Below are 14,629 nucleotides of genomic sequence, written 5' to 3' on the forward strand. Positions count from 1 at the left end.
CCCAAAGCATTGGGATTACAGGTGTAAGCCACTGTGCCCAGCTAGGACAAAACTTTTGACTTTGTCAAGCCTTAATTTCCTCTTCTATAAAATGGAGTTAAGAAGGGCTCCTTCCTCACAGATTGTACTGAGTATTTCATGAGATGATATGTGTATGTCAGGCTGTGTCTCTCCAGGGATGGCTGCATCAATATTTTGCTACTATTCACATACTCTTTTTACAGTATGATGGACATTCCTCTCACTGACAGATGGGGCACAGGTCAATTCCCCTTGAATCTAGGGACCTTGTGACTATTTGACCAGTAGAATGTGCAGGAAGTGATGCCATGTGACTTTTGAGACTAGGTCATCGAAACGATACAGCTGCCACCTGACTCTCACTCTCTATACTCGCCCTTGGAATCCAGTCACCATGTTGTGAGGAAGCTCAATCTAGCCGAAGCAGATGTGGGAGCAGCCCACATGGAGAGGAACTGAGGTCAGATGACAGCCAGCACCAACGCTGGACATGTGAACAAACACGTGCGCCCTGAGAGGACTTCAGCCCCAGCCTTCAGCCCCAGACTGAGCCTCAACTGAGGCCTCAGTCATCCCAGGATAGAGTCAAGCTGCCCTTGCTATTCTCTGTCCAGATTCTAGAGCCACAGAATCTGTGAACATGATAAATGATTGCAGTATACCATTATGTTTTGGGGTAGTTTGTTACATAGCCATAGAAACTAGAAGAGTATATAAAAGTGTTAAAAAATTGTATCTAATATTTGTAGTGTTAAAATATTGGAAGCCTACATATTTTTCACAGCTTAGTTTAAACATCACCTCCTCAATGAAGTTTACCCAAAACCATTCAAATAGAATTCAAAAACAGAGCAGTTGAGCACTTACCCTGCCAAGAACTTCTTTCTAGGTAGATTTCCCATGATCCTTACAATAACATGACAATCTCAATTTAAATAAATATATGTTTTTAGTTGTTTATTAATTTCCATTACTTGGCTCTGTCTATAAAAAATTACATCAATGAATCACATTGATTTCAGTTCTTAAAATAATTTTATCTACTTAAAAAACTTTTCACAGAACTCAGAAGATATATTTGAACAATTTAAAGCAATTTTATGGTAATAGTGTTTCTTTCTCCTCTCTAGTTTTATTAGCTCCATTTTGCTGGTGAGGAAATGAAGGCTCATGGAGATCGAGTGGCTTATGCAGCTGTGAACACTGAGGGCCAGGTTCAGTCCATGTTCACCCTGGCCCTCCCCATGCCATCCCTCCCTGCCTCCTTCCTGAGTCGCATCCTGCATTGCAATCCTGCATACACATTCTTTATCTCTTTCTATAGATGCTAAGCCTTGAGAGGCAGTCACATTCAGAAGCAAATCCTGACAAGACATCTGGGCCTGTGCCCTGCACACAGTACTTTCTAAGTTCACTCAATGCCAGCATTCACCACTTCCCTATGGAGCCCCTACTGTGGGCCAGGTAGGCTCTGGGGTAGGCACTGAAGGAAGACCTAATGCCTGCCCTCTTGGAGCTTCCAGTCTGGTCAGGGAGACAGGAATAAGTAAATCAACCCAAAAGCAAACGTTTGGTGATGTCTATGACAACTGTCGAAAAGGAGGGAATGAGGTTCTTCAGGAGAGGAATAGCAGGAGGACCTACTTCAGACTGGGATTTAGGTGAGGCTTTTCTTAAGCTGAGTAGGTATTCCCTAGGGGTGTATATGGGAATGGGAGGGGAAGTACGTGAAGGCTCAGAGGTAGGAGAGAAGGGGTTCACAGAGGAAATAAAAGAAGGCCAGTGGGGCAGTGCCATGGATTTGTTCAGTGGATGGATGGATGTTTGGATGGATGGGGGGATGGAAGGTTGTATGGGTGAATAGGTGGATGGAGGAAAGAATGGAAGAATAGACAGAGGGATGGGTGGATGAATGGAGGAAGGGCAGAGGAATGGATGGTTGTATGTATGTACATTTGTATAGTGGTATGGCTGTTGTATGTATATATGCTTACATGTATGTATGTTTGGATGGTGGGATGGATGGTTGTGTTTGCTTGTATGCCTGTACGTTTATATGGTGGGATGGATGGTTGTATGTAGCTATGTTTGTATGCATGTACATGTCTGTATGGTGGAATGGATGGTTGTATGTATGTTTACATGTATGCATTATTGGGATGGTTACATATGCATGTATGCATGTGTCATGGGATAATGGTTGCATGTATGTATGCATGTATGTTTGTATGATGTGATAGATGGTTGCTTATGTGCATATTTACATGCACGTGTGCATGTATGGTGGGATGGATGGTTGTTTATGCACGTTTGCATGCATGCATGTTTGGTGGGATGTATAGTTGTATGTATGTTTACATATATGTGTACATGTATAGTGGGATGGTTGTATGTATGTACAAGTGTCTATGGTGGGATAGATGGTTGTATGTATGTACATTTACCTGTATGTATGTATGGTGGGATGCATGGTTGTATGTTTATGTGCATGTGTGCATATGTGGTGGAATGGATGGTTGTATGTATGCATGTATATGTTTTATGGTGGAATAGATGGTTGTATGCATGTATGTTTACATGTATGAATATATTTATGGTGGATGTCCATATATGGATGCATTTGGTGGGATGGTATATATATATACACACACACATACATGTTTATATGTATGCATATTTACATGTATGCATGTTTACATGTATGGATGCATGTGTGGTGGGATGAATGGTTGTATATGTTTGTATGCATGTATGTTTGTATGGTGAGAGGGGTGGTTGTGTGTATGCATGTTTACATATATGTGCCTGTATGGTGGGACAAAGGTATCTACATGTTTGCAAGCATACACGCATGTATATGTGGTGGAAGGATGGTTGTATGTATGCATACACGTAAGTTTATATGGTGAGGTGGATGGAAGCAGGTAGGGCACAGCTGGCCTTGGTCCAGGTTCTGCAGTTGCCCCTTTCCTCCACTTCTCCACTCCAACATCTTCCCACCTCACTGTGGCTCTCAGGCCCCAAGGCCCTCACAGTCTCTCCATTGTACTTTGTCAAATGTGCTTCTTGGATCTGCCCAGGGAGTTCCTTGTTGAGCAGGCCATGGGTGAATGTATTTATACATACATATGTGTGTGTGTATGCCCCACCCACACAGCCATGTATGCACTGAACCACAGCAGCAAGAGGCTGCTAAGAGGCGGTCTGTTCAGCCAGACAGTGCAGGAGTGCAGGCTAGAGGCGAGAAGGGAGGGTGGAGACAATGACGGTGATAACGGAGACTGAGGCCCCACGATCCCCTGGGAAAACTCACTCACACTAAGGCAAAAACAGTTAAGGGCTTGCCACACTGACTCCCCGAGGTACCTGCTTGCTAATACGCCGTGTTATGCCCTGCAGGGCTGATCCAACATTCCCAAGAAATTCCCCCAAGAGCAAAGAAGTGCAGGCCTGGGGCACAGTAGAAGGTGCTGAAAATTATTCCTGATGTCTTTGTCATATCTTAAAAGGCCTTGTAAAGTGTGCATTCCACTTCAGAATATATTTCTTGCTTTTATGTGTTTACTTAAAAACATTTTAAAATCATGAAATATGTCACGCATACAAAAGAGCAAATATAATTATATGTATAGTTTACAGAAGAATAAAATAAACACTCCTGCACCTACCTCCCAGCTGAAGGCCTAGAACACTAACAATACCTTTCCCCTACCCTGGATCTCCCCCCTTCCCCGGCACCAGGTGATTTCTCTCCTGAATATTGAGGTCATGTGCCTTTGCTTTCCTTTCACGTTTCCTTACCTAGAGATGCAAACTTACACAATTTGTGGTCAATGTATTCTGTTTTTAAACATTTTACACCTGGGATTATCCTGTATATAGTCTTCCGTGATTTGCATTTTTGTGCAACATTTTTTTGGGGGGGCTCCATCCTGGTCCTTGCCCTTCATTGAGTCATTTTCACGGCTGGATGGAATTCTGTGGATCACGCTTCATTTGTTTTTGGTGCTTTGCTGTCCTGCCAAGAGCAGCCTCACACATGGCTAAGAGAATCTCTAAGGTATGTGCCTAGAAATGGAATTGTGGGTTGTGGGGTTATACACACATTCATTTTACTAATAACGTTTGCATAAACCCCAGTTGGTATCAATTTACCAACTTGACGCCAGCAGCCATGTGAGTTTCCACCAACACTTGGTGTTGTTAGACTGTGGTCTCTGCCAACCTGGTGGGCACGGAATGGTACTTTGTTGTGGTTTTATGTGTTGTTTATCATGGAAACAAAGCTGCTCACTTCAGATCACTTCATGCCTCTGCCCTCGACCACCCATGACTTCTCTCTCATTCCAAGTAGCATCCTGATATGGTTTGGATTTGTGTCCCCACCGAAATCTCACTTTGAATTGTAATAATCCCCATGTGTCAAGGGCAGGACCAGGCGGAGATAATTGAATCATGGGGGTGGTTCCCCCATACCGTTCTCGTGATAGTGAGTGGGTTCTCACGAGATCTGATGATTTTATGAGTGGAAATTCCCCTGCACAAGCCCTCTTGCCTGCCACCATGTAAGATGTGGCTTTGCTCCTCATTCACCATGATGGTGAGGCCTCTCTAGCCATGTGGAACTGTGAGTCAATTAAACCTCTTTCCTTATAAATTACCTAGTCTGGGGCATGTCTTTATTAGCAGCTTGAAAACAGGCTAATACACAGCCAAAGCACTGACCACAGCTTAGAATGCCGGGATCTGTCCCCAAGTTCTCTCCTTCCAGCCTCACCATCTTCCACTTTCTGCTTCCCCACTCCACTTCAGCTACCTGGCCTCAGACACCCACATCTGCCTCAGGGCCTTTGCACCTGCTATCTGACCTGGAATGATCTCCTCCTCTGTCTACATGGTTTACCCCCAACAACCTTCCTTTGAGACTCGATTCCATGTCACCCGCTCCCAATGGCCACCCTCCACCATCATATCAAATAAGACCCCTGCCCCATCCTCCAAACCTCTCGCCCAGCTTCATCTCTCCTTAGAACACTTTAGTTTTTGTCATGGGCCTTATCTATAACCTATATATTATACATTCACCTTTTAACTTTTGTTTCTCTTGCTACTTTCTTCGAGGGCAGAGACGTGTGTCTTGGTTTTGTCTCTCGTTGTGTCCCCACTGCCTGGAACAGTGCTTGGCATATGGGGGTGTGCAGCAATCATTGTTTCCTGAGTGATTTGAATACTCAGGTAACATGAGTGCTCCAGAAAGACACATTGATGTTATCAGGAACTGTCACTTGGCCCCTAAGCATCCTGCATTCAATACCCACACCTCAGGCTGAAAATGAAGAGAAACAGGCCTATGGGTGGCATTTTAGGATTACTCCTAACCCACATGACAGCGGGCTTGTTCCCCTCCAATTGTCTTTTGTAGGAGTGGCTGCTAAGCTGCTTGGTAGGAAGGAAGCTGGCCAGCCTCCCAGGATGGGGCAGGCGCTCTGCCCTGCTGTGGGTGGGTGGGTGCGTGGGTTTGGTGCTGGAGTGGATGGTTTCAAGTCTGAGTCCCACAGATGAGGGCTGGGGGAAGGGGTCAGGAGGTCTCACCCAGGTGAGGAGAACACAGAGGTGCCCTCAGGACCTGGATGTGGTGAAACGCTGGCTGTGGTGAAACGCTGGCTCGAGGTCCTCTGCCACCTCCGGAAGGCTCTCCCAACCCTCTTAGCCATTCATCCCACATGCTGAATGCTGGAAATTTATGGTGACTTAAAAAAACACAAAGAAGAGACTCCAAGTGGGGACAGGAAGGGGCTGGGGAGGGGGGAAGATGTTTTATTGACTTCCCCTTAATTGCTGTAATTAAAAACATGTAAAGAATCCTTTTTTAACGACTTTGCCATTATCATTAGTTGTTAGCACAGCTGCCTTATTAATTTCTCATTAGAACCCAATTCACAGTTCTCTTTGGGAAGGGGGCTGGGTGCCAGGGGTTGGCCAGCCTGGCTCCATGATAGGAGAACTGGCTGCTTAGGGCCCCAGGACAAGCCCTTGTCACCCCAGGAGACAGGAACAGCCAAGGAGGGGAGGGGCATTTGGGAAAAGTGACCATACCCCACCCTCTCTCAGAACTGTGTGCCATCTGCGTGTGTGTGTAAGGAGACAGACGGATTGGCAGACAGGCAGCTGCAGCAGGCCTGAAGCACAGAATCCTGGGAGGGCCCCAGACTGGGGTAGGGAGAGGGGACTGAAGTGCTGAGGGTGAAAGATTTAAGGAGGCACCCACTCTTGGGGTCATGCAAGTACGGGGTGAGCACTTGAGAATGAGCACCTCCTTAAATTGGGCACCCTCACTGCCTGGTTTGCCTCAGCCTAGTCCAGCCCTGGAGAGCAGGAGTAGAGAGGGTGGCTAGGCATGTATCTACTTGGGTAGACAGATTCAAGAAGGTTGTTTCTTCCAGGACACCTTTCCTGGCTGACCTAAAGTCTATTTCTCCCTGAGTGCCGTCCAGTCTGGGGACCCACTGCAATGGTTTGTGTGCGTTGATACCATAATCCTTTCAACCACTCAGGTCAGTCCGTACTCATGGTAGCATCCTTTGTTATACAAACAATGAAAACCAAAGTTACAGAGAAGTAACTTGCCTAAGGTCACTTGTGGGAGGTGAGTCGGGATTTAAAGCCAGGGCTCACAGCTGGGGCCACGGTTACACCCTGCCAGGCAGAAGAAGGTAGACAGTGGAACTGCCAGCTGTGGAACTGGAACTGTGGGTTATTCTGCAACCCCTCTGAGCCCCAGTTTGCTCCTCTTATGTTCCTCAAACGATTTGCCTTCTAACCTCTCAGACCTGTCCTGGGAGCCCACAGAAGAAAGACATTTACACAATGGCACAGCAGGATGGATCATTTTGGAGGCTCTGGGGAACGCCCCCCCCCCCCGGCTTAGGCTCTGCATCTTTGGGGGGCTCTGGGCTTCTTTGGGGGACAGTTCTTTCCAGGCTGGGCCCCATGGGTCATGACCCTGAAGGTCACTTTAACCTTGTTAACATCAGAACTGAAATGGATCTCATTTTACAGATGGGAAAACTGAGGTCCAGAGAGGGGAAGGGAGGTGCTCAAAGTCCCAAGCTAGTCAGTGCCTCGGTTGGGGCGAGAATCCACGCTTTCGGACCTCCATCCCCAAGACATGCCGTTATTTCAGGCACAAGGGCCATGCCTGGCACACGGAAGAACCCTGGAGCTCTGTGTAGGTACTTTTCATCTACTCGTCCTGCTGAGAGCAAGGAAAACGATGTGATTGGTAGAGTCTACCCCACCCCACCCGCTGGCACTAGACATTCACCCTAGGTGGGAGACCCTGTGCATTTGCAGAGCTGTTTGGACATGGATTATTACAGCCCAGGGCTGTCCCTGATTCTGTCTGAACTCTGACCCCAGCAGCTCACCCTCACCCTCCTCCCACACACCCAATTTTGATTTTTCTCTTCTTGTCCTCAAGCAGTAGAGTGGCGCTGTTTTGGAATCAGGCAGTCATGGGTTCAAATCCCAGTTTTTCCTAACTGTGTGACTTAGACAAGGTGTGTCACCCGGCCGAGCCTCGGTTTCCTCATCTGTAACATGGAGATGGGGACTTGCACTCTGCAGGCTGGGACGAGAACCACTGTGCCCTTCCCAGCACAGTGACCCTCAGGACGAGCACTGCTATGAGTGAGAATGGTTTTGCCAAGTGCTGTGTTTCCCTAGGCCCAGAATCCCAGGGAAGTGGGGCTGGGACAGAGGATTCTTCAGCTTCTACAGCTAGAGAGGGAGGCCCCCTGGGATGAGGCCAGTGTGTCCAGCAAGGGCATGAATGGGGGAGGTATGCTTCTCTCCTTCCCATCCTGGCTGGGTGAAACCTTCCTTAGCTTGTCAGGAACTGCGTTCTTCTCAAGGGTCGGAAGGACTTCCTAGGGCTTTTCTAACTTCCTGGCTTTAGGGCCCAAAGGGCTGTGGACTGTGGTTACCACTTCACGACATTATGGAGGAAACAGCTTCACACCTGCAAAGCCGTGCACAGTAGCAGATGCAGCTTCCCAGCGCTGGTTTCAGGGAGCTGCAGCTGGTGGACAGGGGGAGGTTAACCTGGGTCTCTCTCTCTGCTCCCCCTTCAGCCACTCCAAGGTGTCCTATTCCTTTGCCAGGGGCCTTACCCATATGTGCACAGCTGGGCAGCACAGCATGGTCCTGGTGGAACGCAGCAACATCCATGGTCTTAACCATGTCTGGGGGCACCTGGAGCTCTGGGGCTTTGAGGGGGCTGCTGGAACAGGGCAGGAATCCTACTGTGAGAGGTAGTGGAGGGGCAGGGCCGGGCTGGCAGGATGGCACCGGGGAAGGTGCCAGCCTGCTGCATTTTGCTGGGACAGCATTTACTGAAGGCTATTCTGCTCTGTGGCCTGCTTCTCTACTTCCTTAAGGTGATAATATAGAGTATTAATTGCAGCAGTCACTCCCACTGATGCAGGGTGCACTGTTTGGGAGCTGGCTAGACGCTTTGGCACATATGAGCTCAAGAAATCCTTCCAACGAGCCTAGGAGGTCGATATTATTAATACATTTTAGGGATGAAGAACCTGAGCTGGGGTGAGGCTCAGAGAGGTCCAGTCACTTCCCTGGGGTCACACAGCAATCCAGGACAGAGCAAGGATGTGAATGTGGTCTGTCTGACTCCAAAGTCCACTCTTTTTATTTTATTTATTTTTGAGATGGAGTCTCGCTCTGTCACCCAGGCTAGAGTGCAGTGGTATGATCTCAGCTCACTGCAACCTCCGCCTCCCAGGTTCAAGCAATTCTCATGCCTCAGCCTCCCAATTAGCTGGGACTACAGGCATGTGCCACCACGCCTGGCTAATTTTTTTTTTAATTTTTTTTTTATTTTTAGTAGAGATGGGGTTTCACTGTGTTAGCCAGGATGGTCTCAATCTCCTGACCTTGTGATCCACCCGCCTTGGCTTCTCAAAGTGCTGGGATTACAGGCTTGAGCCACCGCACCCAGCCTTATTTTTATTTTTTTTTGAGATGGAGTCTCACTCTTTCGCCCAGGCTGGAGTGCAGTGGCATGATCTTGTCTCACTGCAACCTCTGCCTTCTGGGTTCATGCGATTCTCCCACTTCAGCCTCCCGAGTAGCTGGGATTAAAGGTGCATGCCACCATGCCCGGCTAATTTTTGTATTCTTAGTAGAGATGGGGTTTCACCATGTTAGCCAGGCTGGTCTCGAACTCCTGACCTTGTGATCTGCCCACCTCAGCCTCCCAAAGTGCCAGGATTACAGGCGTGAGCCACTGCACCTGGCCAGACCACTCTTTTTATTAAGCCACACTGCCTGTCATGGTGATGAGCCCCCAGCCTGCCAACACTGTAAGGCACTACCCGCAAAGCCCTTTCACTGTCACCCTGGAGCTCAGCAACTCCCTGGATCTCAGAAGCTCCCTCTTGAGCCAGGCCCCCATATGTCACTGCCACTGAGGGTCATCACTGCCAGCATCACCCAGGGTGGTCCAGGGCCCTTGGAACCCGCAGTGTGGGGAAGGGGAAGCTCAGGGTACCCCCATCCCCAGGGTCTGTGCCTGGGCAGAAGCAGGTGTCAGGGTGTTAGGCAGCACAAGTCCCCTTCCATCTGCTTCTCATGGCCTGGAAGTGCCCAGAGGGCGGGCCCAGGTCTGTCTGAGCCCTTCTCTGCAGCACCTAGGAAATGCCAGGACCTTTGCCCATGATCAGTGCAACTTGCTTGCTCGCCCTGCAGATGGGCCTGGTCACACCCCTCCCCCAGTGTGAAGGTAGAAGGACCTGTGGGTCCAGGGGAAGGGACCACACACGTGTCTGGCCTGGTGTGGAGGGAGTTCCCCCCACCCTGGGTTTGTGTGTATGTGGGAAGGAGTTTGCCTAAGGAGGGGGATCAAGGAGCTGAGTCTGGGCTCAGGGATTCCTATCACAGCCATGAAGAGAAGCATTTCAGCCACAGAAACACTGACCTCCCTTCCTTTCTCTTTTTGATTGGCAGAGCCAACCCCAGGGAGGCTGTGTCATTTCATCTCAGGGGCTCTCAACTCCAGAAAGTTTCTACTGTCTCCTATGAGCCAAGGGCTTGGAACTTACCACCTACTCCCACCCCACAGCCTGGACTAAATGGCATCCTGAATGGCATTTGCGACTGCGCGCGCGCGCACACACACACACACACACACACACACACACACACACACACAGAGGTTCTGGCCCACACACAGGTAAACAAAGAGGCAGATTACTCCAGACATGCACATCTGAACACATAACCAATACATGTATGTGTATACACTTGCACATACTCAAATGCACACACATGAATACATGCAATGCAAGGGCACACATTTGCACTCACTCACACTCATGCTTACAATACACATTCTCTCAAATACACAGGTGAGAGGCAGACTGGCAACAGAAACATATACCCAAGCACACATGCATGCATGCATGCAAACACACACACACACACAAATATCCTTGTGCACACACCCGCACATATACACACTCATTCTTTCCCAGACACATGTGAACAAAAAGGCCAACCAACCTGGACACAGACATTTGCACACACCCATGCACACACCTTGGCACACACTCATGCACACACACATATGCAGTCTCTCTAGAGGCCCAGCCTCAGCTTCCCCCTGCCCCCTGGACTCTCAGCACTGACTAAGCGAAGCTCCCGGGGAGCCCTCCAGCCGCTGACAGCTGCCTGAGATCCATCACTTTAATTCAGGGCTTTTTCTGCTCCTTGGAGTAAGTTGAGTTGCCGTTAGTGCTGATTTATGGGGACAATCCATCCTCCACTTTTGATTACGGTTGTTTTCCGTAATTATCATAAACACTCTTTGCCTCACTTGAGATTTTCTTTTAGATTTCTCTCCTGCACTTCTCTTTAAGTAGCAAGCTCTCTCTTGTGCTAATTTAGAAGCATGCTCCCATGAGCTCCATATGAGAGGGTGCCTTAACAAAAATTCTGGCCTAAGGATTGCCACCCTGTTATGTCCCACAGTACAACGTGGGACTTCTCCTCCTAGGAAAACCCAGAATGCAACAGCCCATAATGAGCCTCATTTCTAGAAGACAGCAGATATTTGAGGAAGCCGGGACAGGGCTGGGAAGGTAACACTGGGTCTTAGGGGAAGAGTGTCGGTTGGTACTCTAGGACCCTGGCCCCTGAGATGCCCTGGGGTTCTTCTGAAGCTGTCTTCCCTTCCTCTTCGGAGGGAGATCCTCTGGAATTGGCGGCACGGGGGAGAAGGCCGTTACCCACAAAGGCTTGGTGAGGGCCTCCCACTTCACTCTCTGCCCCCCAGCCTTTCTGGGAACCCTGATTCATTCCTCATTCTCCCCTTCCCCTTGGAGTTTCAGCATTCACCATGAGGCACCTCCCAGCACCCCCGGAAGATCACGGAGACCCTCAGGCTGTTATCACTCCAGGGTTGAGCGAGTTGGAGGATGGAAAATAAAAGTCATACTGGGCGCGGTGGCTCACACCTGTAAACCCAGCACTTTGGGAGGCTGAGGTGGGCAGATCACTTGAGGTCAGGAGTTGGAGACCAGCCTGGCCAACATGGTGAAACCCTATCTCTACTAAAAATACAAAAAATTAGCTGGGTGTGGTGGCACATGCCTGTAATCCCAGCTACTTGGGAGGCTGAAGCAGGAGAATCACTTGAACCTGGAAGCGGAGGTTGCAGTGAGCCAAGATTGCACCACTGAACTCCAGCCTGGATGACAGAGTGAGACTCCAACTCAAAACAAAAACAAAAACAAAATAAAAGTCATGGAGGCCCTGGGAAGTCTGCTGAGAAGAGGGTTGTAGCTGGAGAGGCTCAGAGTGGCCATTCTGAAGATGCCCCTTCCCAGGTGTGAGGTGGACCACAGAGGAGGCATTGGAAGCAGGTGCAAGGCCCTTTTTTGAAACACAAATCAGCTGGTCCCATTTAAAGGACACAGACAAGGCCACCCTTGTCTAAAATGAATGAAAAGCACCAGGGAGCTCTTGGCTCTCGGGACATGTGATGGGGTCACAGGGTCAGCAGATGTGCATGAGACTTACAGCTGCGTGACCTTGAAGAGGGCCTGCTACCTCTCTGGGCCTTGGTTCTACCAACTGCAAAATGAGGTTGCTGGCTGGAAGGGGCACCATGGGCACTCAGTGGGTGTTGATGGCCATGACGGGATCTGGCTCTGCCCAGGATGTGGCTGGTGGGTGCCACTCTGGCACCACAGTCGCCCCCCCTGCCCCTGGGTCCCCATTGTACTCACAGGCCACCTGGACCTCGGTTTGCCGCTGCAGCAGGGCCCCCATTCGGTTCCGCACGATGCAACGGTAAAAGCCAGCGTGGGTGCGGTCCAGGCTGGTGATCATGTATCTATGGGACAGACGAGACAGCCAGTGAGCAAGTCAGGCAGCTGCAGGGGTACAGAGGTCAGATTGGGCTCAGAGGTCAGAGGTCGCCAGGTCACCCTCTTTTGGAATAAGAGTACCAGGGAACTCTTGACTCTCTAGCCATGTCATAGGATCACACAAAGGTCTTTATCAATAAATAGGAGGGTTCCTCCCAAAGCCAATGAGGCCTTTGCTCAGCTGCCTGGGAATTAGCCTGCCCTTCTCCAAGCAGGGAAGGTGCTGCACCCGAATCCTTGACCCTGACCCTAAGGCTGTGTCAGCTGTGTTGGAAGCAGCTATTCTCCCTGACCTGTGACTCACATGACTGAGAAAGGTGGGGGCATTTTTTTTTGTCTTTGCAGAGGACTGTGCTATATTAGTTGAAATGGATGGAGGTGACAGAGACAGGGAAATTTACATGTTTTCCCAAATGCTCAGTATCATTCCTTTCTTAAAATTACAGACAGCCCCTGATGCCCACCCAAATCTCATCCTGTAGCTCGCATAATTCCAAGTGTTGTGGGAGGAACCAGGTGGGAGATAATTGAATCATGGGAGTGGGTCTTTCCATGATGTTCTCGTGATAGTGAATAAGTCTCACGTGATCTGATGGTTTTATAATGGGAAGTTTCCCTGCACAAGTTCTCTCTCTTTGCCTTCTGCCATCCATGTAAGATGTGATTTGCTCCTCCTTGCCTTCCGCTATGACTGTGAGGGCTCCCCAGCCACATGGAACTGTGAGTCCATTAAACCTCTTTCTTTCGTAAATTGCCCAGTCTCAGGTATGTCTTTATCAGCAGCGTGAAAACGGACTAATAATACAGCTGCACTGCAGCTTTTGGGCTGGCGGGGTTGGGCAGAGCCTTCTGAATAAGACAAGCTAGTGTTCTGTGGGTTCTGGGGACAGGATGTGGGACTCCAGGCTGGCCCCTTGAAAGCCCACTCCAGAAATACTTGTTACCCACAGAGCAGCAGACTCTGGCATTGGGGGGCAGGCGGCTGGGAGCAGGTGTATGTACATTCACCTAGCTGAGAGGCAAGGAGGAGGCACGTCAGTGAGAGGAGCTTCTGACAGTGGGACAGGAGTGGATGAAGGGGACCGGGGTCCAGGGGCTAGTTCTCCTGGTTCACCCTTGGTGGTCACCTTTCCCATCCCTAGGCAATGGTCCCACAGGACCCTCAGAGGAAGAAGGGATGTCCTAGGATGCCTCTCTCCAATTCATTGGTATCCTAGGGTTTGCCCAGCAGACCTGGTGGACAAGTTCCTTGACACCTGCCTCTAGGGTATCTCTAGATGTGCCAACCCTGGGATGCAGCAGCCTTATTCCTGGGAGATGCCAGTTTGGTTTTATTAATACATGAGATCTGGCTAGGGCCTGTCATCATCATCATCTTGCCAAGAATAAAACAACAACCACCCCTTCCGGAGCACCATCTCTGCATCAGACACTGTATTAAGTACTTTTCATACGTTTCTTCATTTCACACAGCAGTTCCCAGCCTATTGAATATCATGAACCAGTAACACTTAAAAAAGTGGGACCAACATGAGACTGTGAACTTCTTCTTTTGCCAAGATTATTAAAACCAACCAACCAGAAAGCAAACAGACAAATAATCAGGCAACAACAACAAAAACACTTAAAAAGGGATAATATTAAAAAGTGCCAGGGAAAGAAAAATAAATAGAAATGGTCAGCATTTAATTTAAAAAGGACATTTCTGGGATGACAAAAAACTCCTAATCTCAGCATAAAGGCATTTTAAAAACATTTTTCCTTCTTTATATTAAAAAAAGAAACTTTTTGAAAAAAGAGATGGGGGTCTTTCTATGTTTCTCAGGCTGGTCTTGAATTCTTTGGCACAAGCAATCCTCCCACCTCTGCCTTCCAAAGCGCTAGGATTACAGGCATGAGCCACCGCACCCAGCCAATTTTTAACAAATTTTTAAACTTAAATTTTACACAAAGCCCACTACCCTGACTTTTATGAGGACAGTTGCAAACTGTCATCAGTCAGCACTTGAGAGCCTGTGACTTAATCTCCACACTAACCCTACTAGCACCTTCTTTCTAGAGGTGGAGAAGTTGAGGCTCAGAAATATCTTGTCAGTAACCTGTAAGTTTCACACATTGTAAGAGGCAAAGTCCCACAGAGCCTTTCAGACTCCAAGCCTGGC

General features: G+C 48.8%; 1 protein-coding gene across 5 annotated transcripts in view; it reads right to left on the reverse strand.

Annotated features, from left to right (window-relative positions):
- The window catches only part of SDK2 (sidekick cell adhesion molecule 2), a 310,062-nt gene that overhangs the window by 125,402 nt on the left and 170,031 nt on the right, over positions 1 to 14,629 (reverse strand). For all 5 annotated transcript variants that reach the window (XM_047436313.1, XM_011524914.3, XM_011524915.3 and 2 more), the window contains exon 3: positions 12,327 to 12,433. In XM_047436313.1, coding sequence (XP_047292269.1) covers positions 12,327 to 12,433 — 107 coding nt within the window. The remainder of the gene's footprint in view (positions 1 to 12,326; positions 12,434 to 14,629) is intronic.

The sequence above is a fragment of the Homo sapiens genome, chromosome 17 (genome assembly GCF_000001405.40).
Source record: "Homo sapiens chromosome 17, GRCh38.p14 Primary Assembly".
In the NCBI taxonomy this organism is placed as follows: domain Eukaryota; kingdom Metazoa; phylum Chordata; class Mammalia; order Primates; family Hominidae; genus Homo; species Homo sapiens.